The 13,704-nt window shown below is 39.6% G+C and overlaps 1 protein-coding gene and 1 long non-coding RNA gene across 8 annotated transcripts in view; one reads left to right on the top strand and one right to left on the bottom strand.

Moving 5' to 3' along the window:
• The window catches only part of TRDN (triadin), a 420,612-nt gene that overhangs the window by 72,748 nt on the left and 334,160 nt on the right, over window positions 1-13,704 (top strand). The window lies entirely within an intron of this gene.
• Window positions 1-13,704, bottom strand: part of LOC105377982 (uncharacterized) — a 51,063-nt gene that overhangs the window by 6,279 nt on the left and 31,080 nt on the right. The window contains exons 4-5 of one of the 2 annotated variants that reach the window (XR_001743833.2): window positions 10,685-10,847; window positions 6,793-6,957 (exon numbers count right to left, since the gene is read on the bottom strand). This is a non-coding gene — a long non-coding RNA (uncharacterized LOC105377982). Of the gene's footprint in view, window positions 1-6,765; window positions 6,958-10,684; window positions 10,848-13,704 lie in introns of those variants that run through there. The other variant, XR_001743831.2, reaches the window with a different exon arrangement.

The raw sequence follows: 13,704 nt of genomic DNA, 5'->3' as shown, positions 1-13,704 counted from the left end.
CTAAAAAGATGCATTTTACTACCCAACTTCAGTCTGTCTATGAGTACCTGAAGGAAGCAAAGAGTTCTATAATTCAATATTTCCCAGACTCTAATAAAAAGTGTATCAATTCTTCATGAAATGAGGAAAAAGATAAAGAAAAAAAGTATTCATTTTTAAGAAGTGTTCTTAATTCTTAGATTATATTGTTCCTACATTTTTAGTCTTAAAATTCTCTTTTGAAATTGTGGTAAAACCGGATATTGTTTTTATTGTTGTTTTAATAAAGGCAAGAGCCTGAGGTGGGAGAATCACTTGAGCCCAGCAGGCGGATGTTGTACTGAGTTGAGCTTGCGCCACTGCACTCCAGCCTGGGTGACAGAGTGAGACCCTATCTTAAAAACAAAAACAAAAACAAAAACAAACAAAAAAGTAAAGCTTCCAAAACTAAACCTCAACTTCATTAAACAAATATGTATTAAATAATTAGTCAGAATATGTTAATTGCTGTATTATCTCTTCTCCACTAATCTGTTAAATTTATAATATGGTGATCCAAGTAAATCATCCAACTGGAGTAGTATAATATTTTGACTTTTATGCCACCAGAAAATTATTTCTGTTGAATCGTAGCTTGGAAACAAATTTATGGAAATCTATAAACCTACAAAAAACCATGTGTTCCCATTTCTTATTATACGCATAGATTCAAATCTTGTTTATATTTAACATGGGCTTTTTTTAAGAAGAGAAAAGCAAATTCAATAGTCACACCTTTTATACATATTTATTAATAAAAGTACAATATGATGCCCTAATTTTCATCTGGATACTTGACAGGGATAAAAGAAGCCAGAAGTAGTTTTTTATTTTGCTTTGAAATATAAAGTGCCCGTTATTTGACATAGGTCTAGCTCCAGTTAGCTGGAAGTATTCCAGGTTTAAACATCTGTCGCACAATTTTGCTGGTAAAGAATTGGTTGATTAGGGTCATATTGAGTAAGAGAGGTGAAATATACATCTATTTGCATTCAGTAATGTTCCTTTTGCCTCAAGAAGTAATAGTTGAGTATCAGTAAACTTAGTTTTACATTGCCATAAACAATTATATACTGAAATAACCACATAATTGTAAGTAGGGATGTTTGTGTTTAATTTCATTAGGTCCCACACAAGTGCACATTTCTAAACTACTGAAGTAAGTTAATAGTAAAGATGAGTGTGGAAAAATTTCAGTTGAGAAAGTTTTTTAAAGCAGAGGGAAAATGCCCATGCCTCAGATATTGAAAAGCAAGGATTGGAGCTACAATATGACTATTCAAATGTAGATTAGCAAAGTGACAGTCATTTCCTTCTGCAGTCAATAAAACAATTAGCTCACCAAAAGTGCTTTTAAATCAGGATCCTAGTTTTTCCTTTGGTTTAAAAGCATCTAAATATCCAACAATACTTGCAGATGCAAGTATTTTATTTTTTCAAAATTGCAAATCAAATGGATTTTATCTTTTAGAATCCAATGTACTTCAGGAGTTTTGCATCCTACCCTTTATTTTATTTTATTTTTTGCATGTGTCTCACTCTCTTAGTCTCTTTTGGCTGATATAACAAAATACCATAAACTGGATAGCTTATAAACAGACATTATTTCTCACAATTCTGGAGGCTGGGAAATTCCAGATCAAGTTGCCAGCAGTTTTGGTATCTGTGAGAACCTACTCTGTAGCTCATAGGCTTCTTGCTGTGTTCTCACATCATGGAAGGGGTGAACTCTCTTAGGCCTCTTTTATAAGGGCACTAATTCTGTTTGTGAGGGCTCTGCCCTCAGGACCTAATTGCCTCCAAAGGCCACAACTCCAAATACTATCTTTCACATTTTACTCATGTCCATGTGAAGAGACCACCAAACATGCTTTGTGTGAGCAACAAGGCTGTTTATTTCACCTGGGTGCAGGCGGGCTGAGTCTGAAAAGAGAGTCAGCGAAGGGAGATAGGGATGCGGCCATTTTATAAGATTCGGGTAGGTAAAGGAAAATTACAGTCAAAGGGGGGTTATTCTCTGGCGGGCAGGGGCAGGGGTCACGAGGTGCTCAGTGGGGGAGCTTTTGAGCCAGGATGAGCCAGGAGAAGGAATTTCACAAGGTAATGTCATCAGTTAAGGCAGGGACCGGACATTTTCACTTCTTTTGTGGTGGAATGTCATCAGTTAAGGCAGGAACTGGCTATCTGGATGTGTACATGCAGGTCACAGGGGATATGATGGCTTAGCTTGGGCTCAGAGGTCTGACATTCCTGTCTTCTTATATTAATAAGAAAAATAACATAGTGGTAAAGTGTTGGGGCGACGAAAATTTTTTGGGGGGTGGTATGGAAAGATAATGAGCGATGTTTCACAGGGCTGCTTCGAGAGGGATTGGGGCGGCATGGGAACCTAGAGTGGGAGAGATTAAGCTGAAGGAAGATCCTGTGGTAAGGGGTGATATTGTGGGGTTGTTAGAAGAAACATTTGTCATATAGAATTATTGGTGATGGCCTGGATACGGTTTTGTATGAATTGAAAAACTAAATGGAATAAGAGAAGGAGAAAAACAGGTATTAAAGGACTGAAAATTGGGAGGACCCAGGACATCCAATTAGAGAGTGCTCAAGGGGGTTGAGCATAATTACTTGCTTGGTTGGTGAGCTTTTAGGCTCTATCCAAGTTTTTGGGGTGCAGTTCAAGTTGGGCTGGTGTCTGGAATGAGACTGGGGCCTAATAAAAAGGAGTGTCCATGCAGGAGCTCAAATGGGCTGTACCCTGTAGCATTCCGAGGACAGACCCGCCTGAATGCTGAGAAGGGCAAGTGGTAAAAGTATTGTCCAGTCCTTTTTAAGTTGGTGGCTGAGCTTGGTGAGGTGTGTTTTTAAAAGACCATTAGTCCGTTCTACCATTCCTGAAGATTGAGGATTGTAAGGTATATAAATGTTTCACTGAATACCAAGAGCCTGAAAAACTGCTTGGGTGATTTGGCTAATAAAGACCAGTCCACTATCGGACTGTATAGATATGGGAAGGCCAAACCGAGGAATTATGTCTCACAGAAGGGAAGAAATGACCACAGTGGCCTTCTCAGACCCTGTGGGAAAGGCCTCTACCCATCCAGTGAAAGTGTCTACCTAGACCAAGAGTTATTTTAGTTTTCTGACTCGGGGCATGTGAGTAAAGTCAATTTGCCAGTCCTGGGCAGGGGCAAATCCCTGAGCTTGATGTGTAGGAAAGGGAGGAGGCCTGAACAATCCCTGAGGAGTAGTAGAATAGCAGATGGAACACTGAGAAGTTATTTCCTTGAGGATAGATTTCCACGATGGAAAGGAAATGAGAGGTTCTAAAAGGCGGACTAGTGGCTTGTAACCTACATGGAAGAGGTTATGAAATGATGACAGAATAGAATGGGCCTGTGAGGCTGGAAGGGGATATTTTCTTTGGTCCAAGAACCATTTGCCTTGTGTGGGAAGAGATTGATAGATGGAAGTTTCAGTGAGGGAGTGGGTGAGAGTGGCCAGATGAGAAGGAGAAAATCTGCACGAGGGATAGAAGTTGGAATGCTAGCTGCTTTTTTAATTACCTTATCAGCATAAGCATTGTCCTGAGCGATGGGATCTGAGCCCTTTTGATGGCTGCTTTTTTAGCTACCTTATCAGGATAAGCGTTGTCCTGAGTGATGGGATCTGATGCCTTTTGATGGCCTTTGCAGTGAATGACTCCAGCTTCCTTTGGAAGTAAAGTGGCTTTGAGAAGCATTTTTATTAAAGAGGCATTAATGATGGAGGACCCTTGCATAGTGAGGAAATTTCTTTCACCTATAAAACAGCTTGGTGGTGCAGGATATGGAAGGCATATTTAGAGTCAGTATAAATATTGATGTGTAGCCCCTTTGTAAGAGTGAGGGCCCGAGTTAAGGCAATGAGTTTGGCTTGCTGAGAGGTAGTGGAGGGGGCAGAAAGTATATGCGTCCGGTGTGAGAAAGAAAATAGATTTTGGAAGTTATGAGAACTGTAGAGAGTGAGTTGAGCATAGTTTGTGATTTTGAGGGTCTCTAAAAGTATTTAAGCAGCGGCAGCCGCCGCACGCAGACATAAGGGCTAGGCTAAAACAGTAAGGTCAAGTTGTTTGGACAGAAAGGCTACAGGGTGCAGTCCTGGCTCTTGTGTAAGAATTCTGACTAGACTGAAGTCATGGGGTCTGTCTGTGAAGCCTTGTGGCAGTACAGCCCAGGTAATTCGCTGAGCCTGATGGGTGTCAGGGTCAGTCTAAGGGAAAGCAGAGAGGCTGGGATGAAGGGTGCAAAGGAATAGTAAAGAAAGCATGTTTGAGATCCAGAACAGAATAATGGATTGTGGAGGGAGGTATTGAGGATAGGAGAGTATATGGGTTTGGAACCACAGGGTGGATAGGCAAAACAATTTGGTTGATAAGGCGCAGATCCTGAACTAACTTGTAAGGCTTGTCTGGTTTTAGGACAGGTAAAACGGGGGAATTGTAAGGAGAGTTTATAGGCTTTAAAAGCCATGCTGTAGCAGGCGAGAGATAACAGGCTTTAATCCTTTCAAAGCATGCTGTGGGATGGGATATTGGCATTGATTGGGGTAAGGGTGATTAGGTTTTAATGAGATGGTAAGGGGTGCATGATCGGTTGCCAAGGAGGGAGTAGAGGTATCTTATTCTTGTGGGTTAAGTGGGGGGAATACAAGAGGAGCACGCAAAGGAGGCTTTGGATTGGGAAGAAGGGCAGCAATGAGATGTAGCTGTAATCCAGGAATAGTCAGGGAAGCAGATAATTTAGTTAAAGTGTCTCGGCCTAATAGGGAACTGGGCAGGTGGGGATAATTAAAAGGAGTGCTTAAAAGAGTATTGTCTAATTTGGCACCAGAGCTGGGGAGTTTTAAGAGGTTTAGAAGCCTGGCCATCAATACCCACAACAGTTATGGAGGCAAGGGAAACAGGCCCTTGAAAAGAAGGTAATGTGGAGTGGGTGGCTTTCATTTTGATTAAGAAGGGGACAGACTCACCCTCCACTGTGAGAGTTACCCAAAGCATCTGTGATGGTCCAGGAGCCTTTTGAGGTGATCGGGCAGTGTCAGTCTTCAGCCGCTAAGCCAAGAAGATCTGGGAAGGAGTCAGTCAGAGAGCCTTGGGCCAGAGTTCCAGGGGCTCTGGGAGTGGCTGCCGGGTGAGTCCGATTTCCAGTGGGGTCCTGCACAGATGGCACACTGCTTAGGAGGAATCCTGGGCTATGGGCATTTGTTGGCCCAGTGGCCGGATTTCCGGCACTTGTGGCAAGGTCCTGGGGGAGGAGGTTCTGGAGGAATCCCTGGCAGCTGCAGTTCAGGCGTTTGGAGTTCTTGTGTGCTGGAGATGTGGCTGGGGTTTGTCTCACAGTGGAGGCAAGGAATTGCAACTCAGAAATACATTGCTACTTGGCTGCCTCTACTCTATCATTGTACACCTTGAAGGTGAGGTTAATTAAGTCCTGTTGTGGGGTTTGAGGGCTGGAATTTAATTTTTGGAGTCTTATTTAATGTCGGGAGCAGATTGGGTAATAAAATGTATATTGAGAATAAGATGGCCTTTTGACATTTTAGGGTATAGGGCTGTAAAGCATCTCAAGGTTGCTGCCAAACAAGCCATGAACTGGGCTGGGTTTTTCATATTTGATGAAAAAGAGTGTAAATGCTGACTGATTTGGGATAAAGAAAAAGGAGCATTAACCTTGACTATGCTTTTAGCTCCAGCCACCTTTTTAAGAGGAAATTGCTGGGCAGGTGGGGGAGGGCTAGTCACAGAATGCAACTGTAAGCCGGACCGGGTGTGAGGAGGGGAGGTGATAAAAGGATTATAGGGTGCGGGAGTGGAGGCTGAGGAAGAATTGAGACCTAGCTCAGCCTGGCGATGAGCAGCCTGGGGAGGAGGGGAGAGGTCATTGGGTCTGTAGAAAAGGAAGATTGGAAAGAGGAAAGACTCAGTGATGCTTGGGGTTGGGACTGAGGGGACAGGCGGGAGGGAAAGAAGGAAGTTTGGGACAAGCTGCATTGGGAACAGAGACTAGGGAGGGACCGATGTGTAAAAGAATGCCTGGACGTCAGGCACCTCAGACCGTTTGCCCATTTTAGGACAAGAATTTTTTAGGTCTTGTAGGGTGGAAAAGTCGAAAGTGCTGTTTTCTGGCTATTTGGAACCACTGTCCAGTTTGTATTGGGGTCAAGTGGCAGTACAGAAGAAAATAAGGCATTTAGATTTTAGGTCAGGTGTGAGTTGAAGAGGTCTTTGAGAACACAGGCTAAGGGAGAAGAGGGAGGAATGGAGGGTGGAAGGTTGTCCATAGTGAAGGAGCTAAGTCCAGAGAAAAGAGAGGGTAGAGACATGGAGAGAAGGGGTGGGGGGGGTGCTTGCCCCCCAGGAAAGTGGAGAAGGGGTAGAGACATGGAGGGAAGGGGTTGGAGGTGCTTGCCCCCCAGAAAAGCGGTGCTTGCTGCTAAGGGTGAAGGACCAAGACAGGCGTTCCCACGTGGTCACACACCTCTGAAACGTGGGTGAATAATCAGGCAGTTGTCCCCGCGTGATTAAACACCAAGGGAAGACTGTTTTCCCGAGTCCGTGACCGGCTCCGGAGTTTTGGGTTCATGGATAAAATGCGTCTCCTTTGTCTCTACCAGAAAAGGAAAGGAACTGAAATTAAGAGAAGGGAGAGATTGAAGTGTGGCGCCAAGATTGAAAGGAGAAAGAGGTTGAAGGATAGTGAGAGAGGTTGGAGAAGAGAGTAGAAAGAGGCTGCTTACCCGATTTAAAATTGGTGAGGTGTTCCTTGGGCTGGTTAGTCTGAGGACCAGAGGTTGCAGGTGGATCTTTGTCACAGAGCAAAGAGTAGGAGGACAGAAGATTGATCTCCCAAGGGAGGTCCCCCGATCCGAGTCACGGCACCAAATTTCACATTTCACTCATGTCTGTGTGAAGAGACCACCAAACAGGCTTTGAGTGAGCAACAAGGCTGTTTATTTCACCTGGGTGCAGGCGGGCTGAGTCTGAAAAGAGAGTCAGTGAAGGGAGATGGGGTGCGGCCGTTTTATAAGATTTGGGTAGGTAAAGGAAAATTACAGTCAAAGGGGGGTTATTCTCTGGCGGGCAGGGGTGGGGGGGTCACAAGGTGCTCAGTGGGGGAGCTTTTGAGCTAGGATGAGCCAGGAGAAGGAATTTCACAAGGTAATGTCATCAGTTAAGGCAGGGACCGGCCACTTTCACTTCTTTTGTGGTGGAATGTCATCAGTTAAGGTGGGAACTGGCCATCTGGATGTGTACATGCAGGTCACAGGGGATATGATGGCTTAGCTTGGCTCAGAGGCCTGACACTATCGCTTTGGGATTTGGATGTCAACATATGAATTTTGTGAGGGCGTAGACATTTAGACCATAGAACTCTCTAGAGGAGAGGGACAGACTGGTCATTTTAGTCTAATATTGGTATTATCCAGAAGTCATAAGGAGAGAGAGTGAGTGAGATTTAGAGACAGTGAGAGAGAAAAGAAGAAGAAGAGGAAGAGGAAGAAGAAGAAGAGGAAGAGGAATAGGAGGAAGAGGAAGAAGAAGGAGGAGGAGGAAGAAGAGAAAGAGGAGGAAATAGAGAAAGAGAGACTGAACAGGAAAAAAGAACAGGAAAAAATTATATTGCAATTAGAATTTTTGTAAAATCAATCCTCCAAGTGAAGTTAATATTAGAAGCACCATGGGAATTTTATTAACCCAACTTTTAATGTCATCATGCTTTGAGGAGTGTTCATTGAGCTAAAGATAAGAGACTCCAGAAAATTTCAACCTATGTATATGGTCTCTATGTTAAAAATCTCATTGAATGAAAATCTATTCAGACACTTAGTTTTGAAGTTAAATCACTTATATAATTTTGATTTATTGTTCAAGTGATTGTATACAACTATTTAAATGTTCTATTTTTAAAATAGAACATTTATTCCTAAGTATGGCAATAGCAAAGTATTCACTCATTTGTAAAGTAAGGCATTTAAATATATGAAAATGTGGTTTCCTCATACTCTTCTCTTTACAAAAGCATCTGAAAGGTGCTCTATAGAAGCATCTCATGATTTATTTTACAATCTGATTACTCAGTCTGAAATCTAATTATTCAATATTTGTATATCCTGCTAAAGTGTTAAATAAAAATTTATTTTATCCTACATATTTAGTTTCAAGAAAATTTTACAGCATAGCTTTTATTCCACATTTCTGTCCATGTGAGGATCCTTGAAATACTCTTTTATACTGTAAACAAAATTATCAAATGCAAAGATTATAGCACAGTAGCTGGATTCAATTTTCATTGGCCTCCACCTCTGCATTTCATTATTATTTTTACCTTTGTTCCTCTCAAATTGCTATCAGTTAGTCAGTTCTTCCCCAATTATTATTTTAGCATAAATAATTTTAAAGGATCAATATAAGTGAATATAAAAAGAGGATCTCAAAAAATGAGCCTCTCTTAAAATGCTTCTGTGTGGAAAATCTATTTTTGGAACATGGTTTTAGGACTATAAATTATTACTATTTTGGTTACAACAAAAGTGGCTTATCAGATGCCAAAATATCAAGTGTTGCTTCTGGAACTGAAGCAATATATACAAATATAGCCATCCTTCCTGCATTTTTCAAGAAAAAATAATAAGAAAATATGTAATTCCAGTACTATACATTTAGAAACGTCCACTGGCAGGATATAAACTCATCTTAGGGGTTAAATACAGAGGAATAAAGGTGTTGCAATAAACATTTTTTGAATGCTTGACTTCCTTGGATGTTTTACTTATGTCTCTAATTTTGTCTTTACTTTCAATTTGAAATAAAACAGAAAATAAGAACGCAATAAATTCATGGGAGAAAAAAAGGCATTTGGCTCTAAGAGGTTGAAATCTCTTCCACCGTGATGACAAAATTAAAAACGGCAGTTCTAACATCAGTGAAGTCAACCAAACATACCCAGGACAAGTGGCCCAACTTATGAGAAACTGTTTGGACTTAAAAAGCTTTAAAGTATAATGTCTTCAGTAAACATCAGGTCAATGAAGACACCAAATTTCACTGTGAATGTATAAGCACATATTTTTGTTTATTCGTAAACACCTGTGCCTAGTATTGTTGATGCTGAAAACTCCAGGACCCAAAGTCTCAGAAGACTATTAAATTCACTGTGCAAGCTTCTTGTTTCCAATGGATTCTGCTTAGAAATAAATTAAATTAGCATTTCTACCCTATAACCTTAAGAAATATTTGACTATTAACAAATAATGCCAGACCTTGAGCCCAAACTGTTTCATAAGTCTTTGTATTCTCTCAGCTACATTTCTGAGTCTAAGAAACCTATTGACTTAGTGGAAAGAGCATTGTTTTATGCATATACTGACCCACCACTTCAGATTTTAAAAACATTTTTGTTTTGTTTTTCCTATCTGTTTTTTCTTTCTTCCCAACTTAGGCGGTGGGATGGGAATGAGGAAACACATCTGAAGTTTCATTTGGCATTGGGAAAGTTCTAAAGAAATTTGTTTACCTTCAAGACAAAGACTAAGTAATTTCACAGTAATTTAAGCAAAAATTGACATGTAACTCAGGGCATATTAAATGACACATAATTTGCTAAAATTTTTCTTAACTTGATAAAATTTTCACCAACAGAAGCAAAAATATTCATATACATATTTACAGAAAGGGAGAAAAACTGGTCACTTAAAATTATTTCTTTAGGTCTAGAAAATTATCTCTATGTATTTTGAAATAACTTTCCTCACATACCAAAATTAGAACCACCTAGATATCAATTATATATTACACTTAGAATATTGTACATAATCAGTGCTCAATAATTGTTGTAAAAGAGAAATCTCTGCTTTGCTTAGCCAAGCTCATATTGAGTACTACCATACAGAAGGTACATACAGCAACATATACCAAGTTTAATTGTTCCTGGTTTGGGTAGCATTCATGACATTAAAAAAAAACCTTTACCTCAATTTAGTTCCAAATATTTGGATCTGAATATTTTCTGGGAGGTCAGGGGCAAACATTAGTTGTTTCATGAGTTCCAATGAAAACAGTCTTTGGATTTCATGGACCTTACCAAGGTTCGCTATGAGGGCGTGGTGACTAAGTGATCTCATGCTAATATTTATAGCAGCCTGCATTTATGGAGCATTGTATGTTTGAGGTAAATGGTCATGAAAATTAAACTGATAATTATCTAACATTTATTAAACCATATTATCTGCCCTCTATGCTGATATGGTTTGATAGTGTCCCCACCCAAATATCATCTTGAATTAGAGCTCCCATGATTCCCACATGTTGTGGGAGGGCCCCAGTGGGAGATAATTGAATCAATGGGGACAGTTTCTCGCATACTGTTCTTGTGGTAGTGAATAAGTCTCCTGAGATCTGATGGTTTTATAAGGGGTTTCCCTTTTCACTTGGCTCTCATTTTCTTTTGCTGGCCACCATGTAAGACATGCCTTTCACCTTCCATCATGATTGTGAGGCTTCTTCAGCAAAGTGGAACTGTGAATCCATTATACCTCTTTTTCTTTATAAATTACCCAGTCTCAGGTGTGTCTTTATCAGCAGTATGGAAACGGACTAATACACATGCTTTACACCAAAAAGTTTACGTACACTGTGCTTGAGTGAACACCAGTAAGTGTCGTCTGGTGCAGGCAGAGTCATGGGCAGAAGGGCAGAAGATTCCTGGGACCCCTGTTTTCTTGCCTTCCTGTGGAGTGGATCAGACAGATGCAGATGGGCAAATCTAGAGACTCCACCTCTTAGTTGTTCTTTCCTTGGAAGGAAAGCATAAGGGTAGCATTAAGGTTGGGGTTAATCATTTGGGTTTGAGCGCTATGCAGTCAGAGTTTAGGTGCTAAGTGCATCAGGGAATGCTGGAAACACCAGTTGTGTAGCACTTGAAGAGTTTGGGAGAAACTGAGATCATACACAGGCCTCCTGTTGAGGGGAGGGGAAGCTATTAGTTCTGGCTAGCAAGCTGAAAAGAACATTTTGGTCATTCAACAGACAATCTTGCTTATTTCTTCACGTTGATGTTTACTAATTAGCAGGCATCGTACCATTTGATTTGTCTATATTATCTCATGTATTACGCATAAGATCCTTATGCAGTCTTATTGTCATTTTATGGTTCAGCAAATGGAAGCACAGAGTACTTTATCCTTTTTCCCACTAACTGAATATGTTCTAAATTGGAGTACAGAGAGTTTGAATAGAGGAATAACAGGCACTGGAAAGTTGAGGTCTTGATTTGGAATAGTGACTTTGGGAAAGCAAGGCATTGATAAATTTTATAGACATGGCAAAAGTTAATCTTCTCAATATCATAGAGCTAATAGGTTGGGGAAGTACCAGGACTAGAGAAAAGTGAGTTAAGTACCATGGGTGCAAAATTGGAGTCCTCCAAAACACTCAAAAATTGAAACAAATAATATTTTCAGGCAGAGTTTAAATTTTCAAAATTAATGCAAAAATATATGATGAAGAAAATATCAACATTTTAAACAAAGGCAGAATGATTATTACTGTTTCTCCTTTTGTTTCAATATAGTTGGCACAGCGCTGGGTAGGAAGCTTGAACTTGAATGCTATCAGTCTGAACTCAGAACCCAAGCTTGTAACCATTGTGTGCCAATGTTTCTCAGGATATGAAAAATAAAGAAGGGTCAAATATTACCTACACACTCTAAGACTGATGGCCAAAGATAACAGTGAAACTATGGTCTTGATTTTTTAGAAGGGAAGCAGAGAAAATGATTATTTTTCTTGTATAGTCCCATTTAGAAACTTAAGTACACGCATAGTTTAGCTTCAAAACCAGAGGACAAATAAAAATCTTACTTAAACTTTTCTTGGCCTCTCTTGTCTCTCTTGGCACTCTTTCATCAGTGCCAAGAATCCAATTACTGACCACAAGTAACCTAAAGCAGTTTTCCCGGCATTCAGTGGTATATTTTTCTGGAAGAAACCTTGGATACAATTAAGAATGACTTGAACACTGAGAAACATTTCTTATCTCATATAACAGAAGTGCTGAAGGTAGAGTGATTTCAACATTGGATACTTCAAGGCCTTAGCAATGTCATCGTGGACTCATTTTTTTTTCCAGTTTTAATCCTTGCCTTTCTCAGAGAGCCAGCTACTGTTCTCATGGTTACAAGATGACTGAAGCAGCTGCAAGCTTTTTTATTCCCATGCAGTAAAGTCTTTGTTCTTCCTTTTAAGAGCAAGAAAACCCCTTCTAAAATCTCCCCACCCAAAACGAGACCTTAGAATCAATTGTGAATTTATGTTTTTTGTTTGACAGCATATAGCACAATAGTTAAGAATCTTGTTTTGATGGCCTAAAATGGGTGTAAAACGTGGCTCCATCACTTACTATGTAACCTGAGGCATCTTATTTAAATTATCTGTGCCTTAGTTTTCCTATGTTTTTAAAAAAGGTATAAAATAATATACCTATGTCATTGGGTTATTGAGAAGAAAATGTGAATTAATACCTGTAAAGTTTTTATAATGGTGTCTGACTGTTATTTTTAAGATGATTCTCACAGTCATGTATATAATTAAACTTAGGGAAACATGAAAGCTAAGAAAATACAATTACCTAAGTATCTTCTTAAAAAAAGACATCAATAAAAGTTTTAGTTTGCGTTGAATAATATTTTTTCCATTGATATGATCTGGATTTGGATGTGAGGTCTGAAAGACAGAATAAGAATCAACTTCAGGACTACTGTCTTATTTAAGTGTGTGTGTGTGTGTGTGTGTGTGTGTGTGTGTGTGTATTTAGGTTTTGGAAGAAGTGGTCCACATGGCTGAAAATCAGAAAATCAGAAGCTGATCTCAAGCTAGCAATGATAACTTCATAAAAATAGCCTGCTTTGGCAATTTTAGAACCAGGCAATATATATATATATATATATCTGCAAAATACATACAGTGCATTTAAGCATAAGGATAATTAAACTGATCCCAATTTTGTTGGATTTTATTGTTAAGCTCTTCAGTTAACACTTAGAAAGAAGGGAAATGGAGAAATAGTCTCAATCTATTCTCATCATAAAAATCTCATTTGCAGATTTTTCCATTAGGTATAAAATATACCACTGCTAAAAATGCCTTTAATGGTGCCAGAACAATCCAGTTCCTTACATATGATTCTTTTAAAATCCTCAATTGCAATTATAAAATTCCATTTCATTTCCTTTGTCTAAGGTTTAATCTCACCATTCAAACGGCCATTTCTTGCTCACATGAAACTCTCTGGAGTGTAGTAAAATGGGGTGCAAAGAGTGAAAGTACATTATCAATGAATCATGGAGACAGGCTTCCCAGAAAGCAGCATTTTATTCCTGGGGTCACTGAATGGTCTGTGTGCTCCACGAATCCCTCAGAATGGAATATAAAATTAAAAATTTCCCCAGAAATCCTCTCGTTCATATAATTTTTCCGCTCTCTATGAGATCTTCCCATCAGTATAAACCATGGGATATTCTTCCTATTTGAACAATGGTAAAAACAGAAAAACTCACTATGATCCTAGTTCCTCTTCTAGTATTACTCAATCTCTGTCATATGCATAAAAATATACTCACTGCCTCCAAATTTTTCTATTTTGTCTTGAATGC

This window comes from Homo sapiens, chromosome 6, assembly GCF_000001405.40.
Source record: "Homo sapiens chromosome 6, GRCh38.p14 Primary Assembly".
In the NCBI taxonomy this organism is placed as follows: domain Eukaryota; kingdom Metazoa; phylum Chordata; class Mammalia; order Primates; family Hominidae; genus Homo; species Homo sapiens.
Note: the sequence above shows the minus strand (reverse complement) of the source record. Positions and strands in the feature narration are given on the sequence as shown.